At 60.7% G+C, this 17,335-nt stretch overlaps 1 protein-coding gene across 3 annotated transcripts in view, besides 11 other annotated features; it reads right to left on the bottom strand.

Moving 5' to 3' along the window:
* LTBP4 (latent transforming growth factor beta binding protein 4) overlaps positions 1–17,335 on the bottom strand; it is a 36,655-nt gene that overhangs the window by 14,469 nt on the left and 4,851 nt on the right. The window contains exons 2-22 of one of the 3 annotated variants that reach the window (NM_003573.2): positions 16,097–16,155; positions 15,796–15,950; positions 15,175–15,284; positions 10,126–10,317; positions 9,700–9,947; positions 9,521–9,623; positions 9,045–9,119; positions 8,826–8,948; positions 7,823–7,987; positions 6,983–7,132; positions 6,749–6,868; positions 5,691–5,822; positions 5,481–5,606; positions 4,695–4,820; positions 3,958–4,200; positions 3,368–3,493; positions 3,160–3,279; positions 2,156–2,287; positions 1,823–1,948; positions 1,314–1,436; positions 906–1,037 (exon numbers count right to left, since the gene is read on the bottom strand). In NM_003573.2, coding sequence (NP_003564.2) covers positions 906–1,037; positions 1,314–1,436; positions 1,823–1,948; positions 2,156–2,287; positions 3,160–3,279; positions 3,368–3,493; positions 3,958–4,200; positions 4,695–4,820; positions 5,481–5,606; positions 5,691–5,822; positions 6,749–6,868; positions 6,983–7,132; positions 7,823–7,987; positions 8,826–8,948; positions 9,045–9,119; positions 9,521–9,623; positions 9,700–9,947; positions 10,126–10,317; positions 15,175–15,284; positions 15,796–15,950; positions 16,097–16,155 — 2,886 coding nt within the window. Of the gene's footprint in view, positions 1–905; positions 1,038–1,313; positions 1,437–1,822; positions 1,949–2,155; positions 2,288–3,159; positions 3,280–3,367; positions 3,494–3,957; positions 4,201–4,694; positions 4,821–5,480; positions 5,607–5,690; positions 5,823–6,748; positions 6,869–6,982; positions 7,133–7,822; positions 7,988–8,825; positions 8,949–9,044; positions 9,120–9,520; positions 9,624–9,699; positions 9,948–10,125; positions 10,318–13,714; positions 13,984–15,174; positions 15,285–15,795; positions 15,951–16,096; positions 16,156–17,335 lie in introns of those variants that run through there. The other 2 variants (NM_001042544.1, NM_001042545.2) reach the window with 2 other exon arrangements.
* Positions 399–678: an enhancer, noted in NCBI's record as "active region_14659". NCBI's record gives its function as "activates an Ori minimal core promoter by ATAC-STARR-seq in GM12878 lymphoblastoid cells {active_cell/tissue: GM12878}" and the evidence as "EXISTENCE:reporter gene assay evidence [ECO:0000049][PMID:35858748]".
* Positions 900–1,447: an enhancer, noted in NCBI's record as "H3K27ac-H3K4me1 hESC enhancer chr19:41119811-41120358 (GRCh37/hg19 assembly coordinates)". NCBI's record gives its function as "activates a minimal SCP1, AML or CMV promoter by ChIP-STARR-seq in primed H9 embryonic stem cells {active_cell/tissue: H9 hESC(primed)}" and the evidence as "EXISTENCE:reporter gene assay evidence [ECO:0000049][PMID:30033119]".
* Positions 4,949–5,028: an enhancer, noted in NCBI's record as "active region_14658". NCBI's record gives its function as "activates an Ori minimal core promoter by ATAC-STARR-seq in GM12878 lymphoblastoid cells {active_cell/tissue: GM12878}" and the evidence as "EXISTENCE:reporter gene assay evidence [ECO:0000049][PMID:35858748]".
* Positions 5,169–5,498: a silencer, noted in NCBI's record as "silent region_10640". NCBI's record gives its function as "represses an Ori minimal core promoter by ATAC-STARR-seq in GM12878 lymphoblastoid cells {active_cell/tissue: GM12878}" and the evidence as "EXISTENCE:reporter gene assay evidence [ECO:0000049][PMID:35858748]".
* Positions 8,835–9,129: an enhancer, noted in NCBI's record as "tiled region #12022; K562 Activating DNase matched - State 4:PromP". NCBI's record gives its function as "activates a minimal TATA promoter and a strong SV40 promoter by Sharpr-MPRA in K562 cells {active_cell/tissue: K562}" and the evidence as "EXISTENCE:reporter gene assay evidence [ECO:0000049][PMID:27701403]".
* Positions 9,493–9,742: a silencer, noted in NCBI's record as "silent region_10639". NCBI's record gives its function as "represses an Ori minimal core promoter by ATAC-STARR-seq in GM12878 lymphoblastoid cells {active_cell/tissue: GM12878}" and the evidence as "EXISTENCE:reporter gene assay evidence [ECO:0000049][PMID:35858748]".
* Positions 11,327–11,386: a silencer, noted in NCBI's record as "silent region_10638". NCBI's record gives its function as "represses an Ori minimal core promoter by ATAC-STARR-seq in GM12878 lymphoblastoid cells {active_cell/tissue: GM12878}" and the evidence as "EXISTENCE:reporter gene assay evidence [ECO:0000049][PMID:35858748]".
* Positions 11,557–11,706: a silencer, noted in NCBI's record as "silent region_10637". NCBI's record gives its function as "represses an Ori minimal core promoter by ATAC-STARR-seq in GM12878 lymphoblastoid cells {active_cell/tissue: GM12878}" and the evidence as "EXISTENCE:reporter gene assay evidence [ECO:0000049][PMID:35858748]".
* Positions 12,195–12,718: an enhancer, noted in NCBI's record as "H3K27ac-H3K4me1 hESC enhancer chr19:41108540-41109063 (GRCh37/hg19 assembly coordinates)". NCBI's record gives its function as "activates a minimal SCP1, AML or CMV promoter by ChIP-STARR-seq in naive H9 embryonic stem cells {active_cell/tissue: H9 hESC(naive)}" and the evidence as "EXISTENCE:reporter gene assay evidence [ECO:0000049][PMID:30033119]".
* Positions 13,900–14,049: a silencer, noted in NCBI's record as "silent region_10636". NCBI's record gives its function as "represses an Ori minimal core promoter by ATAC-STARR-seq in GM12878 lymphoblastoid cells {active_cell/tissue: GM12878}" and the evidence as "EXISTENCE:reporter gene assay evidence [ECO:0000049][PMID:35858748]".
* Positions 16,681–16,740: an enhancer, noted in NCBI's record as "active region_14657". NCBI's record gives its function as "activates an Ori minimal core promoter by ATAC-STARR-seq in GM12878 lymphoblastoid cells {active_cell/tissue: GM12878}" and the evidence as "EXISTENCE:reporter gene assay evidence [ECO:0000049][PMID:35858748]".

Genomic DNA, 17,335 nt, shown 5'->3' with positions numbered 1-17,335 from the left:
GTGCTTAGTGAATTCTTGTGGAATTAATGAATGAGATCTTATGAAGCTAGATTTCCATGAGTCAGAGGTCTAGCAGAGTCAACGGCAGCCCACAGATGTTTTGTTTCATGTGTTCCACAAGATGCGGACTCACACACCATCACCGCCCCCCCCCCCCCGCCGACACAAAAAAATATATACTGTATGGAAGATTAGCCCCACCCTCCTGCCTCGCTGGAGCCTGACCCGGGAGGGGTGAAAGAGCGGGGCGGGAGGGAAGGCCTGGAAAGTAAGAAAAGGCAAGGGGCGGGTCTGTGGGCGGAGCAAAGATAGGAAGGGAGGGCCTAAGTGTTCGAGAGACTGGAGCCATCCGAGCGAATGGAAAGCCCTGTCTAGAGAGACCAAGGAAGGGCAGAGCTTAAACGGGCGGGGGCCAATGCTAGGAGAATTTCACCTTGGGAATTTCTCATTGGGAAAGAATGGGGCCTAGGGCCACCGGGATTGGGCCTCTTTGGAGGGAAGGCTGGAAGTAGGACTGGTGGAGGGCGCGGAAAGGGCACGTCCAAACTTCTGTTAGGAAGAGAAGGGGCCTGAAGAGGGGGTTTTAATCCAGAGGCCGATTGGAAGGGGCGGGGCCTAACAGTTTTGGGGCGGTGTCTTACTGGGGGCATAGCCTAAAATGTGGACCGGGCTTCAGCTGCAGAGGGGGAATGGACTGCGGCTGGAAGGGAGGCTTGGCCGTGATCCTGACACAAGAAAATACATGGACACGGTGGCGGCTTATTTCCACTACAGAGATACGGTGAGAGGGTGTTCTTTCCCTCCGCCTAAGTCTGGGAAGCAGGGCGCCCCTCCTCAGTCCCCAAGGGAGCAGCCTCCAGCACCGCGTTGCAAGCGCTAGCGAAGGCGGGTGGGGGCAGGCTCACCGTCACAGGTGCCCTCGGGGCCCGCGTGGTACCCAGGATCGCAGTCCCGGACACAGCGGTAGGAGCCGGGAGAGTTCTCACAGCGCTGCGACCCGCACAGGGCTGGGCCTCGCTCGCGACATTCGTCCACGTCTGAGGAGAGAGGTCGGGTGGTCGGATGTGGGAAGCAGGGAGGCAAGATGGGGGATACAAAGAGGGGAGAGGAGAGTCAGAAGGGGGAGGCCGGGGAAGCAGAGGAGAGGGCAGGAGAAGATTGGGGTAGAGGAGAGTTGGGGAGGCTAGGAGAGGAGGCGGGGGAAAGAGGTAAGGGGAGGGGAGAAGCGGAGGAGGAAAGACAGAGGTGGGAGGCCAATCGGCGAGTCGGGGAGTCGAAGGGAGGAGGGATCAGGCCGGGGCGGGGCCTCTCACCGAGGCAGGAGGCGAGGTCCGGGCCAGCGCGGTGTCCCGGAGGACAGATGCACTCGAAGGAGCCGTCGGTGTTGGTACAGATGCCGCTCTGGCAAAGGTCCTCCTCGCTGCACTCGTCAACGTCTGCGGGACAGGGCGTCCGAAGGCCCGGCCCACCTCCCGCTCCGCCTAACATTCTAGGCCACACCCCTCCACCGCCCCTCGGCTCTCCTAGGCCTCTCACGCCTTCCCCAACCTGCCTCACGCTACTTCCCTCCCTGCAAACACCGCCCCCCGACGGGTTTAGAACAGCTTCTTTACAATCACGGTCCAAATACCCAGACTCGGCCCTTTCATCTCCACGCCCCGCCCCCCCTCACTGCCTCGAGACTCCCACCAGCTGCCCCCTGATCCTGCTGGAATACCCCGGCTAAAAACTCGTTTTCCCCTTTTCGCCCTCTTCTCCCCGTCCCGCCTTTTCCTGCCCTAAGCCCACCCTTTCCGGGGCCAGGATCAGCCCGGGTACGAACCGAGGCAAGAGGCTCCGCGGGGTCCGGGTCGGTAGCCAGGGGCACAAGTACAGGCAAAGGAGCCGTCAGTGTTGAGGCACTCGCCGTGAGGGAAGCAGAAATCGCCCTCCAGGCACTCGTTCACGTCTAGGGTACGCGGGAGATTGGGCGGAGTCACGGGACCCGGCCTCCCAGACAAGCTCCGCCCACATCGCAGTAACCCCGCCCCCACCAATGCCAGGTTTCTAAGCTCCTCCCACAGCGCCTTGGTCCCGCCTCCACCTTTCCAGCCGGCTTTGCCCTGGAACCCAGGCCCTACTCCCAGACTCTCTGGCGGGTCCCTATGCTGCTCACCTGCGCAGGGCCCGGGCCGACCCGACGGCGCCCGGTAGCCTGGCGCGCAGCTGCAGCGGAAGGAGCCTTCGGTGTTAGTGCAGTGGCCGTGGGGACCACAGGGAGGGGCACCCGAACTGCATTCGTCCACATCTGTGGGGGGTGGGGGTGTTCAGAAAGGGTCCAGTCTCGGGACACACCCGACCAATCCCCTTGGAGTAGGGTGTCTGGGGGAGGTGGTGGGAAGTCTCATGAGTTGGAGGCTGGGGGAGGGCTCTATGGCAGAGGTGGGTAGGGCTGACCAAGGTTCTCGGGTTCCGGGGACCATGGTTGCAAGTCCTGTGGGTCTAGGTTTCTAGGAACTACCTGTGCCAGGATTTTGGAGTCAGGAGAGGGATCAGACAGGGATCAGAAATCAACTAGGGCAAGGGACCAGTCAAGTATTATAAACTAGGATCATTGGATGGGATTCGGCTGAGCCATGGGTCAGAGTTAGTGACTGGAATCTGAATCCAGTTAGGATCAGAAGTTATAGTCAGGGTCCAGAATTCTGCCTCAAGTCAGGGGCCAGGGTCAGGGATTATGAACCCAACCAGGTTCCAGAGAAGGGATTCTGAGAAGAGGCAGGGGCTGTGAAAGAGATAGGACCAAGAGTCACACAGTCAAGGTTATGGTCAGTGCTATGGTTAGTGGTTATGATTAGGGTCAAATGTCACAGTCAAATTCAGGAGTTATAGGTCACATTCAGGGCCAGAGTCATGAGGGTCACAATTGCTATCAGGGTATGGGCAGGGACTATCATCAAGGGTGATGGTTAGGGTCAAATGTTACTGTCAAGTTGGGTCTCAGGAGTCACATTCAGGGTCAAGAGTTGTGGTCCAGGTCAGGGTCAGGAGTCACAGGCTCTGGGGACTGAGGGACTGAGGTCCAGGTCAGGAGGTTACGGCCAGGTCATAGTTGTGATCTGGGTCAAGGGTCGGGGGTCATGATGCAGGCCCAAGGTCACAGCCAGGGCCTGGTCTCACCAGTGCATCTGCCACGGTGCAGGTGGTGGCCAGAAGGACAGGTCCTGCACTGGAAGGAGCCGGGCGAGTTCACACACTCCTGCCCAGGGCATGCGAGGTGGTTCTCACACTCATCCACATCTGGGGGGCAGGGGAGAGGGTGGCCTTGAAGAAGTGGTCCAACTCCCCCCTCACCCATCCACACTCCTCCCTCCCTCCCCGGCCTCACCCTCGCACTCGGAGCCAGCAGTGTTGGGTTGGAAGCCCATGGGGCAGACACACTGGAAGCTGCCTTCTGTGTTCTCACACCGGCCGTAGGTGCAGGGTGGGGGGCTTCGGGCACACTCATCCACATCTGGGGCAGAGGGGACCAATGAGGCTGAGGAAGGGGCCTGAATCCATTCCCATGGCCATCACCACCCACCCCAGCATTCCAGTCTTGAGCCTGCCTTCTGGACTTGCCTCAGGCTGCTCCCTCTTCCCAGGAAGACAGACACCTTCCTCGTGTCCCCATTCAATGGTCTCTCCAGCTACTAAGGTGGGGGCTAAGGCACCAACTCCATGTTGCCTGCCCTGCCTCAGGTGACCCCCTCCTCAGGGTTCCCATAAGCACAAGAGTATCTTTCAAAAAGGGAGGAGGGGTGGGGAGGACTGCCTTATTTTGTTGAAAGGAGAGAAGACTCTGGAGTGAGGTCCCCATCCCTCAGCCCCTGTTCTCCATCCCTGAGCCCCATCACTCTGCCTCTCTGCCCCTCAATAATCTCTCTCCAGTCTCCACAGCAAACAGTGATGGAGTAGGGCTGGGCTCAGCACCCTCACCTTGGCAGGGGGCCCCGGGCCCTCGGGAGCGGAAGCCAGCAGGGCAGGCACAGTGAAAGGAGCCTGCCGTGTTGTCACAGCGGCCGGGCCCACAGGGCGGCGGCTCCTGGGCACACTCATCCACATCCTCTTCACACGCCGAGCCCCGGAAGCCAGCCGGGCAAACACAGCGGAAAGAGCCAGGCAGGTTCTTGCAGGCCCCTCGGCCACACAGGCCTGGGCTCTGGGTGCATTCATCCACATCTGCACAGGGCAGGGGGCCCGGGGTCACTTGTTCCCCTCTGCCTCCCTGACCTCTGTCACTTTGGCTTTCCACCCTCCAACATTCTGTCCCCGTGACCCCATCTCTATTCCTCCTTGTCACCATCATCTGACTCTGCATCCTCCACCAATCCCTACTAAGCTGCCTGGCTGGTTCTGTCTCTGTAGTCCCCATGAGAAGGCCTCCTTCTCCCCTTTCCTCCATAACTCTGCTCCCCTTACCCGATTACTGACATCTCCATCCCTCCTCATTCTGCTTCTCCATCTTTCATGACTCAGCCTTTCTGTTTCCCATCACTTGGCCTCTGCATCCCAGGTCTCTCTCTACTGCCATCAGGCCACACGTCTGCTCGAGAGCCTGGCCTCTGTCTCCAAATCAACTCGCTTTGCCCTATTGTTCAGTCTCTCTGGCCCTCATCACTGCGCTCTACCCAACCGCTCACACCCCTTCCCAGCTGCCCCTCCCAGGCCCTCACCCTGGCAGCTGGCTCCGTGCGGTGCAGCCTGGTACCCGGCGGGGCACACGCACAGGAAGCTGCCTGGCGTGTTCTCGCAGCGCCCGAGGTCACACGGCGGCGGCACGCGGTGGCACTCGTCCACATCTGTAGGCACAGACCAGGCGGCTGGGACTGGGGCAGACAGCCCCGGGAGAAGCGACGCAAGGAGGCAGGGGTAGAGGGAAGCGGGAGCGGGACCAAGCTTGGGCCAGAGCCAGGATGGGGACCCGGCCAGGACAGCCGGAGAGGGGCACAGTGAGAGAGGCAATTGTGGAGGGCAGGGTTTGGTAGCGCAAGGGCAGAAAGGAGAGCTTTGGGGACCAAGCTAAGGGAAGGTGGGGTAGGGGCTAGAGAAGAAAGGAGCAGTTTGGGGATAGGGCTCTGGTGTGGCAGGGTTGGAATCGGGGTCGCGGTCAGGAGATTGGTTGCCGCAGTTGCAGGACAGTGGCGGGGCCTGGGGGAGGGAGTTAGTCAGGGAGGGGCGTGGCCAATAAGGGCGGGGCCTGGGCGTGGGGGCGGAGCAATACGAGTTGCGACCAGGCCCCGATAGAAACTGGCAGTTTGGGAGCTGGGTAGGGGTGGGGTCAAAGGGAGGCTGGAGCTGGGTGGAGGCGGGTCAGGGAAGGGCAGGGCCAAGGGCCAGGGCAGAGCAGTCCTGGGGCGGGACCCGAGAGGGGAAGCGTGGGAGGGCTGGAGAGGCTCTGGAGTGAGAGCAGGAGCGAGACCCTGGGGTGGGCCTGGAGCCGGGTGGGGCAAATTTCTCACCCAGGCATTCCGCAGCCCGTGGGCCGGCTCGGAAGCCCGGGCCGCACACGCAGCGGAAGCTGCCTGGTGAGTTCTCGCAGCGCCCGGGAGCACAGGGCGGGGGCACGCGGCGACATTCGTCCACATCTGAGGACACGGAGGGGGCTGGTGACAAGGTGACCAGGCAAAGCCCCCCGCCCCGCCTCCTTCCGCGCCCTCCGTCTTGCTCACCAATGCATCGGGTGCCCTGGGGGCTGAGCCGGAAGCCAGAGTCGCAAGCGCAGGTGTAGCCGCTGGGCCGGGAAATGCAGCGTCCTGGGCCGCAGACCTGGGGGTTGCGCTGACACATGCCGGAGGAGGGACCTGGGGGGTCCAGTCAGCCAGGGTTCCCCCATCTCTGAATCCTCCGTTCCTTTCATCCCAGTAAAACCCCCACCCCCGGAGACATCCATAAAACACCTTCATGGATGTCTCCTCCCCAAGCAAGCCCAGTCTTCTTCTGATCTCCATCTTTTTTATCCTGGAACGTTCTCATCAGATCCTTGGCCGAATCCCCTCATCATGCCACCCCAAGGTCTCTGGCTTTGAATAGTTTGCTCTCCAACCCTCCGCCTGAGATACATTCTTAGTGCCCTACCTGAGAAATAATTATCTAATATTAGATAATGAAAAATAATTATCTACCATAAGTATTTATCTGAGCACTTACTAGGTGTCAGACACTTCAGAGGCATCTCAACAACCATCCCCATTTTACCAATGAGAAAACTGAGTCTCAGAGGTTAAATGGCTTGCTCGATTGACACAGAAGAGCCCAACTGTGACTCCAGCTCCTGATCTAACTACCACCCAACCCTTCAAACGCTTATCTCTGCCCATACCATTCCTATTTGCTGTAACCTGGAATCTTCACCTTGGAGTCTTTTACCCCAGAATCCCACCTGTAATACCCCCATCAATGCCCTGAATTCTTTTTTTTTTTTTTTTTTTGAGATGGAGTGTCGCTCAAGCTGGAGTGCAATGGCACGATCTCAGCTCACTGCAACCTCTGCCTCCTGGGTTCAAGTGATTCTCCTGCCTCAGCCTCCCAAGTAGCTGGGATTACAGGCATCTGCCACCACGCCCAGTTAATTTTTGTAGTTTTAGTAGAGACAGGGTTTCGCCATGTTGGCCAGGCTGGTCTCGAACTCCTGACCTGGTGATCCACCCTCCTCAGCCTCCCAAAATGCTGGGATTACAGGCGTGAGCCACTGCTGCAGGCCCAATGCCCTCAGTTCTTTCTAGCAAACCTGATTCAGGAATCTCAGGACCAGTCCAGGCAGGGATGCTGGGCAAGGGAAGCTCAGGGCCGGGCCGGGGATCGGGCCGGGGTTCAGGCCGGGGCTCCAGGCGATGGGTGGGCAGAAAGCCTGATAAAGAAGGGGTATCAACGAGTGGAGCCCAAATCCTCTCTTGCCTCCTTTCACTATGGGGCTGGGGCAGCCCCTTGAAGATGGCACCCACTTCTGCCAGAGCCAGCTCACCTGCAGATGGCCGAGAGGTGGCTGGCAGGGTACGAGGCTGGCTGAGTGACACTCGGGGTGGCTCCTGGCCCAGGGGTCTGGTGTTGTAGCGGAGGTCGGAGGCCGAGTAGTGGTAACCAGGACCAGCCGGGCAGATCTCCCGGAAACCCTCTGGGAATAGGTAAGAGAGACAGAGAGAGGACAAGAGAGCGGGAAGAAAACGATGGCCAGCCCAGACTCTGGCCTTGGCTAGGGGCAGGGCTTGGCTGGAGAGTGTCAGGGGTTTGAGCTGGAGGCTGGGATGGGGTGGTGTCCTGGCCAAAGAGTAGAATGTCTTAGAGGCTACAGGTGGGGCCAAGAGCGTTTTCCCACATTTGGGATGGTGGTAGGAACAGGGTTGAGGGCAGGGTCCGGTTGGGTCTACAGGGACAGAGTTGGAGGCTAGGAAATAGCTCCCTTGTGAGATTTAGTTTTAAGCAGAAGATAGAATGCCAGGGAGGTGTCTCAGGGAGGGGCATGCCTGGGGTGGGGCTAAGCTGAAGGCAGTGTCTCAGAAGCCAAGGACTTGGTCAAAGTTCAGGGACAGGGTGGGACTGGGCGTTGACGCTCAGGAGACAAAAACTAACTTGGGAGCTCCGGGGTAGCTGTGGCTACGAATGGAGGGGTGGCTGTGGCTACAGATGGAGGTGGAGCCATGGATGCTGTCCAGTCTGAGGCCTGCGGGTCTCAGAGGCTGCTGCGTGGCCAAGGCTGGAGCCCAGCCAGTCAGGTTGGGGCAGTGAACTCAGGGTTGGAGGGTGGGGCGTAGAATGAGCGCCACATGTGTTGCGCGTAGGGCTAGGCACTGCCGCAGGGGCTCACCTGAGCCGAAGGGTGGGCAGAGCTGGCAGCCCCGGCCCCAGGCCTTGCCTACGCGGCTGCAGCAGCAGATCTGTTTAGTGATGTTCCGCAGAATGGGCAGCGAACAGCCGCCGTCGCGGAGCACGCGGAAGCAGGGCCCTTTGGCCTCTGAGATCACGTGTTGGGCTGCGAGGAGCAGGGAGGAAATCCTTCAGGGCGGGGCTGGGAATGCTGTAGCACTGAGGGATTTGGGAGAGAGGGGAATGGTTCTGGGGTTGGGGGTGGGGGGTTGGTGGGTGCGAGGGGCATTTGGGAGAGGTCTGAGAGGGTCTGAAGGAGAGCAGTGGGCTCTGGAGGTCTGAGAAGGGCTTGGAGCCTCAATGGGGTGTCAGTGGTGAATGAGAGACTCTGAGAAGGATCTCAAGATCTGAAGATAGTCGAGTCGTTGAGGGGGACGAGAGGATTTGGGGGTCTGAGAAGGATTCCAGAAAGTCTGGGAGAGCTGGGCGCAGTGGCTTACGCCTGTAATCCCAGCACTTTGGGAGGCTGAGGTGGGCAGATCACTTGAAGCCAGGGGTTTGAGGCCAGCCTGGCCAACGTGGCGAAACCCTGTCTCTACCAAAAATACAAAAAAATTTAGCCGGGCATGGTGGTGCCCGCCTGTAGTTCTAGCTACTCGGGAGGCCGAGGCAGGAGAATCACTTGAAACCAGGAGGCAGAGATTGCAGTGAGCCGAGATCGCGCCACTGCACTCCAGCCTGGGCGACAGAGCGAGACTCCATCTCCAAAAAAAAAAGTCTGGGAGTCTGGAGGGATCTGGATCCAAAAGGCTTGAAAGGTCTAAAGGTGGTCCAGGGATGCTGAAGCTGTATAAGAATCTGAGAAGTTCTGAGGGGGCTCTAAGGCTGACAGAGGAACCCGGGAGTCTGGGGGGGTCCGAGGGAATTAAAGGCCCCAGGATGCTCTGGGACTTCTGAGGGCAGGGAGGGCGGGACCCAGCCTCAGCTCCCTGCTGGTTGCTCACAGATGCAGCTGCTGCGGGACGAGTCGAGCAGAAAGCCGTCGGGGCACACACACGTGTACCCGCCGCGCGTGTTTGCACACTCGCCGTGCTGGCAGCGCCCGCCAGTCGCGCACTCATCCACATCTGCCAGGGTTGGGGAGGTCACCGTGGAGTCAGGAACTTGATCCCTGCAAATCCCGCCCCCAGAACCAAGCCCCTCCCACCCCTGCCCCGTTGCACCTTCGCAGGACCCATTAACTCTTTCAAAGCCGGTTGGACAAGGTCCATCTGGGGCGCTCACTCTTTCGGAGTTCCCTGTGGCGAGAGGAGAGGGGTGGGCCAGGGACAGGTGGGCAGAGCGAGAATGGAGTGGGCAGAGACGAAGACGGGGTGGGAGGGACTAAAAGATGTTGGCTGTAGTTTAAGTGCAGGGACAGCCTTAGGTTGGCAGTTGAAATGGCAACATTGGAGACTCCCAAAGTATATGGTGGGGGGCCAAGGCACAAAGGCAGGGTGAGAACAGAGTGGCCAAAGTCAGAAAATGGGGTGGGTGGTCCCAGAGCGGTATGAAAAGCTCAGGACTGGAAGTCGCCTCCACAATGGGGTAGGCGTGGCTACAATTTGTGAACTGGGTTTATCTAGGGCAGAGTAGGAGGAACGGTGAGGTTGTCACCACTCCCCAGCTCCGAGCACTTCGGGGACGTCCTGGGGCTTACCCAGGCGCTCGGAGCACAGCTGACAGTCGTGAACGCCCCAGGCCAAGCCGGCCCCTCGGCAGCAGACCTCCTGCGTCCGGAGCCCGGGCAGCGGGGACGCGCACTGCGGGGAAGTGTTGGGTGAGCGCGCCCCCGCGCGGAGGCAAGCTCCGGGCCCCTCCCCACGGGCCTCCTCTCACTTCGCCTCCGCGCAGCTCCCGAAAGCAGTAACCGAAGCCCGAGGCATCTGAGTAGCCGTCCTCCCGCGGCGCGCTCTGTGCCAACACCGTGTAGGGCGCTGCCGCCTCCGCCCGCGCCGCCGCTTCCGCCCGCGCCACCGCCTCAGCGTCCGCCTCCTCCCAAGGGCCAGACACACGCTCCACCTGGTGCACCACCACCGACGCCTCCTGCGGGTGCTCCACGTGGACGCTCACCATAGATGCCACGCCTAGGGGAGGCACGGCCGGGCAAACGGATGTCTACACGGGTTCTTACGGGGTGGGGCTAGACAAGGCGGGGAGGGCGAGCTGGGCAAAGGTGCTCGGGAAGGCGGGAAATATGAGGGTCAGGGGCAAAGTGAAATGCTTGACAGGGGTCGGAGGGGACTCTGGCCACCCTTTCCTCACCGTGCTCGTCGTCGCGGTGGTTGGCCAGTGGCATAGTGTACACGGAGCGGGTGAGGCCTGGTACAGCCGGGGCCGGGGGCCGGGCGCCCGAGGAGTGCAACTGGCAGAACTTGCCAGCGAAGTCCGGGGGACAGAGGCAGCGGTCAGGCTTCACGCACACACCGCCATTGTGACAGATCAAGGGACACAGGACTGGGAGGAGAACGAGGACACTCAGGGGCGCCACCATTCCTGGCAGGTTCTCCTGGGGTCCCTACTCCCTCAAGGTATCATTCATTTCTAAGTCGCTCCGCCCTTAGCTGTCATGTGGCCCCGCCCCAATTCTGGCATCAGCATTGGCCCAGTCCAGTTGTTCAGCCATCAGAGGTACGGTCCCACCCACTAAGTCGGCAGGATCTCGCTCTATTGCCCAGGCTGGAATGCAGTAGCGTGATTATGGCTCTGCAGCCTCGACCTCCTAAGCTGAAGTGATCCTCCCATCTGAGCCTCCTAAGTAGCTGAGACGACAGGCGTGCACCACATCGGGCTACGTTTTTTAAAAATTTGGTAGAGGCGGGGTCTCACTATGTTGGCCAGGCTGGTCTTGAACTCCTGGGCTCAGGCAATCCTTCTGCCTCAGTCTCCCAAAGTGCTGGGATTACAGGCGTGAGCCCAGCCAGCCCTCAGGCTGTTTATTCACTTTCATGTCAACCTCTCGGATCCCAATTTCTGGCTGAGTCCACGGAGTTCCAGACCAGCCCAGACGGCGCTGACCCCGCCCATTCCGTAGTCCGACGGAACCCTTTGCTGTTCCAGCCCCTCCGACCCAATGCTGATCCCTTCCATTGACTCAAACCACATTTTAACCACTCCCTGGCATAACTCCCCGCCCAACTCTGTCTCCTTCGCATTCTATGCCCGCCCACACTCCCTCTGCTTGGTCCACGAAGTCCTACCTCCGCCCCCTGGCTGTGCCCCCTTTGTAGCCCCTCTCACATTACCTTCTACCCGCGGGATTCTAAACCCCGCCTATCCAGGAGCTTAACCTGCTGCCTCTAGCCCCTCCCACCTTCCTTTCCGCACTCTGATTCGCCCGGCTCACTTGTTCACGCCCCTCCCACCCCACCTCCAGGCTGTCCGGGTGCCCTAGTTCCGCCCACCGCGCTGTGTCTCCGCCCAACTTCTTTCTGGCTGGGGCTTTAGAGTTCTAGCTCGGCCTTACAGCCTCCAGTAGCACCGGGGCGGAGCCACGAGCGGGAACGCGCCTCCACTCCCCTCTGCGCGCCCTCGCTGGGCCCCAGGCCACCTCTGGGCGGGGCACTGCCAGCTGTGCGGCGGGGTAAACAAAGAGAGAGGTGCGGCGGGGGCAGGGCGGAGGCTCCACATTCCGGACCCTTGGGGAGCCCCGGGACCTTTGAGCCAAAGGAGGCCGGGCTGTCCTGCGAGGGCACCCCCTCCCTCTCTCTCCCGGGGCTGCAGAGAACAGCTGGAGACAGCTGTGCGGAGGGGAGGGAGGAGGCAGGCGGCCGGGGGAGGCGCGTGTGGGATTCTGAGCCACAACTGTAGAGAGGAAAGGACGCAGAGAGCCACCTCCGTTTAGAAGGATAAAGGGACTGGAGTCCTGGGAGGAGATCGACTAAAGGGCAGTCCTCTCGAGTTCAAAGACGGCTGGAGGTTTCTGGGATGGAGGAACCTAGCTCAGAGGAAACTGAGGCGTCCTTTCAGCAGGAGTCCTTTTGTGGACAGTTACCTAGAAAACAGGACTCTAGTGCCGCCTAGGAGACAACCAGTTTGACGGTGCTGAAAACAGGGTTTAGATAGTGAAGTGGAATTCCTGGAAGTCATCAGCACTTAAGAGGCTCAATTGGCCGAGTCCCTCTGTGGAATCCCCTCCCCTCCCAGCTAAGGATTAAGTGCCAAAGGCTTTTTATTAATGGCTGCCTGTAAGGAGCACAATGTCTGGAGTCCTCTTGCGAGAACCCACTTATCAAGACCAACCCTGGGGTTCTCTGAAGATAAATGGGATCAGAAGTTCCTGGGGAAGGGGGTGAGCTAGAAGAACAGGACTTCTGGACAATACTACAGAGTTATCTGGGGAAAGGCACAGTTTGGGAGGTGGGAGGGAAGAATGAGAGGGAATTTCACTGGAGGAGTGGTCTCTAAAGTCTGTTGCCATGGTTGGAGAGCGGGTCTAGGGCCTGGAGCAAAAACTCAGCTCCCTTAGGTAGGAGTGTGGGGCCATGACTCCAGGGTGGTCTAATGGGGGCTTTTAATTGAGTAGTGGGGCCTAGGAGAGGCTTAACTAGGAATCAAAATTGCAGAATGGTAAGGGTCTCTGATGGAGGGGGTGGGAAACCAGCCAGGTCTGAGGGTATTTCCCAGGCTCCAGAGGCATTTCTCTGCCTTCTCTTGGCCTGAATGCAGGCCCGCAGGCCAGCTCCCTGGGGGTGCCTACACCCAGGGTGGGCCACTAGATGGCCACAGCCAACGTCATGCCCCACAGCCCTGGCCAAGCGGGGAGTTGAGGACATAGGGGTCCCTTTGAGGTCAGCCCCCACTTCACATGCCACTCCTTGCACCCCCAAGGGCTTGGCACCCGCCTGGGCATGGCGCCTGGCACAGGCACGTTGGGGCTGGGCCGGGAAAGAGTGAAAGAAAGAGGGAGGAAGGGGAGGAGAGAGGGAGTGGCAGCGGGCGGGGGCTCAGGCGGGAGATGAGCTCACGCCGGCCGGGCTGGGCTGGCTGGGGGCCAGGCTGGGCGAGTTCTCCGCTCCAGGGGCCCCCACTCCCCACTCCATAGGGTCTGCGGGGTAGGGGGCAGGAAGGCCCGATCCCAGAGAGTCTGCCCACTTTTGCATCCTGGAACAACAGGTGGTGCGCCCTCCCCCACCTCACCTGAACCCCCAAGGCTCCCCATCTCTAGGAGTGCCTGGTGCATACACCTCCTGTCCCCTCCGCCCCCAGGGGGCGCCCCTTCCGTAAGCCCTCTTATCTGGATTTCTGTCGCACGTGGGACCCCTGCAACTCAGGTCCTGCGGAGACACCCCCACCCCACCCCCGCCGCCACACACACACACACACACACACACACACACACACACAACCCCCGTCTCTGTCCCCTCTCCCTCTTAGTTCTTCGGATTAACTTTCTTCTCTCTAGTACCCCACCTCACAGGCATTCCCATACAGAACCTTCCCACCCAAACACACAGAAACTGAGACGTCCCCCATGCGGTCCTGAGACTCTTGCTTGGTCCCCGGGGACTCCTTACTCAGCGTCTCAGAATTCGAGCCCCCCTCCCAAAAGTTCTCAGGCCCCTCAATTCTGAGATCCCCATTTTGACGCAAAGCATGAAAGCTGGCGCCAATTCCCTCACGTGGGACATCACAGGCCTCTAAGAACCCTCATTGCTTGCAAAATCGGAACCCTCAGGACCCAACCCCAAAAGCCAGGAATTTGGGGCCCCCTTCCTCAAATAGCCCCTGATATTCCCTTGCACTATTGCATATGGAATCTGGGCTCCCTCTCCCTGGAGGACTGTCTCCTCCATCCCCAGGGATCCTCCTCCCCCCCGGAGCCGCTCTCTCGGGACCACCACCCCGCACTCACAGGCGCGGAAGCCGGGTCCCCCCGGGGCCGCCCCGCCGGGAGCGCCGCTGTCCACGCTGGTGGCGTTGCGGGGCGCGCAGGTCGGGGTACAGCGGGAGCCGGTCGGCCCATGGACGCAGCGCAGGCCGCACACGACCGGGGTGAAGCGCACGCGGAGACGCTCTCCGAGCCGGCCCAGTCCAGGCTGCGGCCCTAGCTGCGCCAGCAGCACCAATAGCGACACCCAGAGCAGCCGCACGCCGCCCGCCATGGCTGCAGCGCCGCGCTCCGCCGCGCCGCCGCCCCAGCCCGCCCGAGGGGCCCGGCCGCACCCGCCCGCCCGCCCGCGGGGGAGGTCGCCCGCGCCCCCGCTCAGGCCCCCCCTCCTCACCACTCCCTCCCCGGCGGCCGCGCGGGGGCGCGTGGGGCTGGGCGCTTAGCCAGAGGCTCGCAGGCTGGGCGCTAGACTCGCAGGGGTGAGCGGGGCGCCCCCTCTGTCCCCATCCGCGCACCAACAAGTGGACCGGGCCTGTAGGGGAGCGGCGGGGAAGGGAACAGGTGGGGGCGGGCGGGTTTCCCCCCAGACAGAGCTGAATCCATAAAGAGGAAATCCATTAAGAGTAGTGGGGGCCACATTTGGGGAGACAGCTAAGAGTTGATCCTCTTCTGCCCGGGGCACAGAGAAAGGGGCTTCATCTTGATAGGGGGCTATCATGGTACATCTGGACAGCCAGGTGGGACATCTGAGGGATGGGAGAAGGGTCGCTACACCTGGGCACATAAAGGAATTGGGCGTCTAGATCCTGGGCAGGAGGCTGGAGGTGGGGGGGATACATGTGAAGATGTAGCCACATCTGGCCAGAACGCCACACCTGGCGGGAGAAGTCACAATGGATAAAGGGAGGCTGTGGGCGGGGGTACTAACATCTGGCCCGAGGCTCACATCTGGAAGACTTTAGGGGGAGGGGTCACATCTGGGCTGAAGGCTACAGCAAGAGGAGGGTTTTGAGGGTGTTTGAGATGAGGGGTGTTCTAGACTAGGGGTCAAGAGCTGGAGCGGGAGGAGGGCAGGGGGAAGATTCGGGAAACAGGAGGAGGCCTTTGGCCCCCAGCCGCCCCACAATCTTGAGCATTTGGTGCCCAGGCAGGCGCCAACCCGCACAATCGCTTTTGTTGTCTGGGCTGGTTCGGCGGAGCTTTCTAACGGGCCAGCGCCCTCCCTCTTCGGCCGCGGGGAGCCCGGACGCCTGGCTTCCCGGCCCCACCCCCGCGGGTCAGTGCCTCTGGCCTGTGTCTGGTCCTGTCCCGGGCTCACCTCGCACGGCCGGACGCTGGGGTCCCTAGAGGGGGCCTCGTCCTGGGGGTGGGTGCTGAGCTACAACGGGGGGCGGGTAGGCGGCGGCTGGACCGTGGGAACCAGACGGCTTTATCTGGCCCGGAACCCCCCTCGCCCCAGGCGGAGGAAAGGCGGATGTGCTTACCCGGGGCCTTGCCAGCGGGGGCACGCTGTGGGGGCCTCCTTCTCAGTAGTCCCCGGCCCCCTGGCCCCCGGGGCCGCCGCCGCTTCAGTAGAGCTCTGGCCTCCTGGAGCCTGGGTGGGAGAGGACGGAAAAGCTGCTGTCACCGGGTTAAACTGACCTCCCCACCAAAGGGCCTCCATGCCAGGAAAATGTCTTTCAGTAGCGGCTCTGCCCAACCCTCCCCCCACAACACCTATTTATGGGGACCAGGCCTCTAGTGGGAGAGAAACAAAGACCCTGAGAGAAAGAGAGATGATGGGGGTTGGGGGAGAGAAAGAGAGAAGGGGCAGAGAGACTTAGACATAGAGGCAGGCAGTGAGACACAGGGAGAAAGAGAGAGAGGAAAAGAGACAGGTAACTAGAAAGAAACAGAAAGAGACAGAAATAATGCAGAGATGGGAAGAGCCTGAGATAGGCAGGCAAGGGATGAAATAGAAACGGACAGACAGGCTGATAGCAAAAGAAAGAGCCGGGGAGGGAGGGGGGAGAGAGAGGGAGAGGGGAAGGGAGGAGGAGCGGAAACGGGGGCAAAGCTAGGAGTTCCTGAGGGAGGATTTGGTAGGGGAGGGACTGCCCACTCACGTCAGTGGCTGCCAGTTGAGGGACACCTGTCTCTTCCTCACGCTGGGGCTGGGACTGGGCACTGCAGGCACTGGGTTCAGGCACCGCTGGGGGCCTGCACACTTTTTGGGCTGGCAGCTTCGGACCCTGCAGAAGGCTTCGGAGACAGCCAGGGACTAAGTGGGGAAGGAGGGGACCAAGTACTTCTCTACCAAATGCATCCAGCTCTCCCACTGGGATGAGGGGAGGGATGGGGAGCTCCCTGCCCCTCTCCTCCTATTCCCTTTTGCCCCCTACTCATACTCCATCTTCCAGAACCCACCTCGGATGCAGCGGCTCCTCCTAGACGTCTGGCCCGGGCAGCAGCGACAAACAGCAACGCTATAAATAGTGGAGTGGAAGTCACTCAGGCCCCTAGCACCCCAGAACTCTGCAAAGGAGGGCAATCGGGGAGGGGAAACCAAGACGCATCCTGAGGGGGCTTGAAACAGGTATATGACTAACGAGGTTCTTCTCCCCACGCCTCAGTTTCTCCATCTGTACAATGGGAGGCAAATTGGCTTAGACTTCGGGCTGAAGGGCACAGAAACCGTACTTTTGTCTTATGAAGAGATTTTGGCGTACGATTTTATTGAAAAAATACGTTATTTTAAAGCCTTTTAAAAGTGATTAAAAAACAAAAACAAAAACAAAAGACTCGATTTCTAAGAGCATTTCTAAGCCCGCACTGTCTGGGAATCTAGAACCCCGCCCTCCCGCACATCCCGGTCCGGGACTCAGACGCCATCCTGAGCCTGGCCGACAGGTGGCGCCATTTTCACAGGCCTCGGCAGCTGGGGAGGGAAGGCTCTTCCCTCTGACTGTGGGTCCAGCAGGGTGCTGAGGTGGAGGGGGATAACGGGAGTCACAGTCCAGGACTGAGAATCCCAGAGCCTGAGTTCTAGCCCGTTCTTGCCCTTCCACGATGTGTGTCCAGAAGCCAGCGTTTCTTGGTCTTTGGGCCTCAGTTTCCCGCCTGACCAGGAGAAAGGTGCCGTTCTTGCAGACATCTCCCAGCCCAGAGGGTCTCAGTGGCGGAGCTTCCAGCTCCGGTTCAAGTGCGTCGCAATGAAGGGGCCCCCCAGACAAGTCCATTATCCCCAGGCTAAGGGGGTCTAGAGACGAGGGCGCGCGCCCAGACCCCGAGAGGAGAGCAGTGGGGGGGTGCAGAGAGGGGGGTGTCCAGCGCGTGGGCCCCTCTCAGGTGGGTGGGGCCGAGTGGAGGATGAGGCCATCTGGTGGGGAGCCTCGGGGATCCCCGATCTTGCCGTCATCCCTCCCGCCTTTTCTCCAGGTTAACCCCTTCCCGGCCCCGCCCCCGCCGCGGCTCGGGTTACTAAACGCATTCGCAGAGACCCAGGCGGGAGAGGAGCCCGGGGCCTTTGTAACGGAGCGCTGGGCCGCCAGGCGGGGAGGGTGGGTGGGGGTGCTGGGCAGACGGCTTCCTTCAGTCCCGTCACCCGCAGACAGGAAGGGCGCCTATAGCCCCCAGATCTATAGGGAATCCTGGATCTCTCGCGGT

Source organism: Homo sapiens, chromosome 19, assembly GCF_000001405.40.
Source record: "Homo sapiens chromosome 19, GRCh38.p14 Primary Assembly".
Classification (NCBI taxonomy): domain Eukaryota; kingdom Metazoa; phylum Chordata; class Mammalia; order Primates; family Hominidae; genus Homo; species Homo sapiens.
The sequence above is the reverse complement of the archived record's forward strand: the minus strand, read 5'-3'. Positions and strand labels throughout refer to the sequence as shown.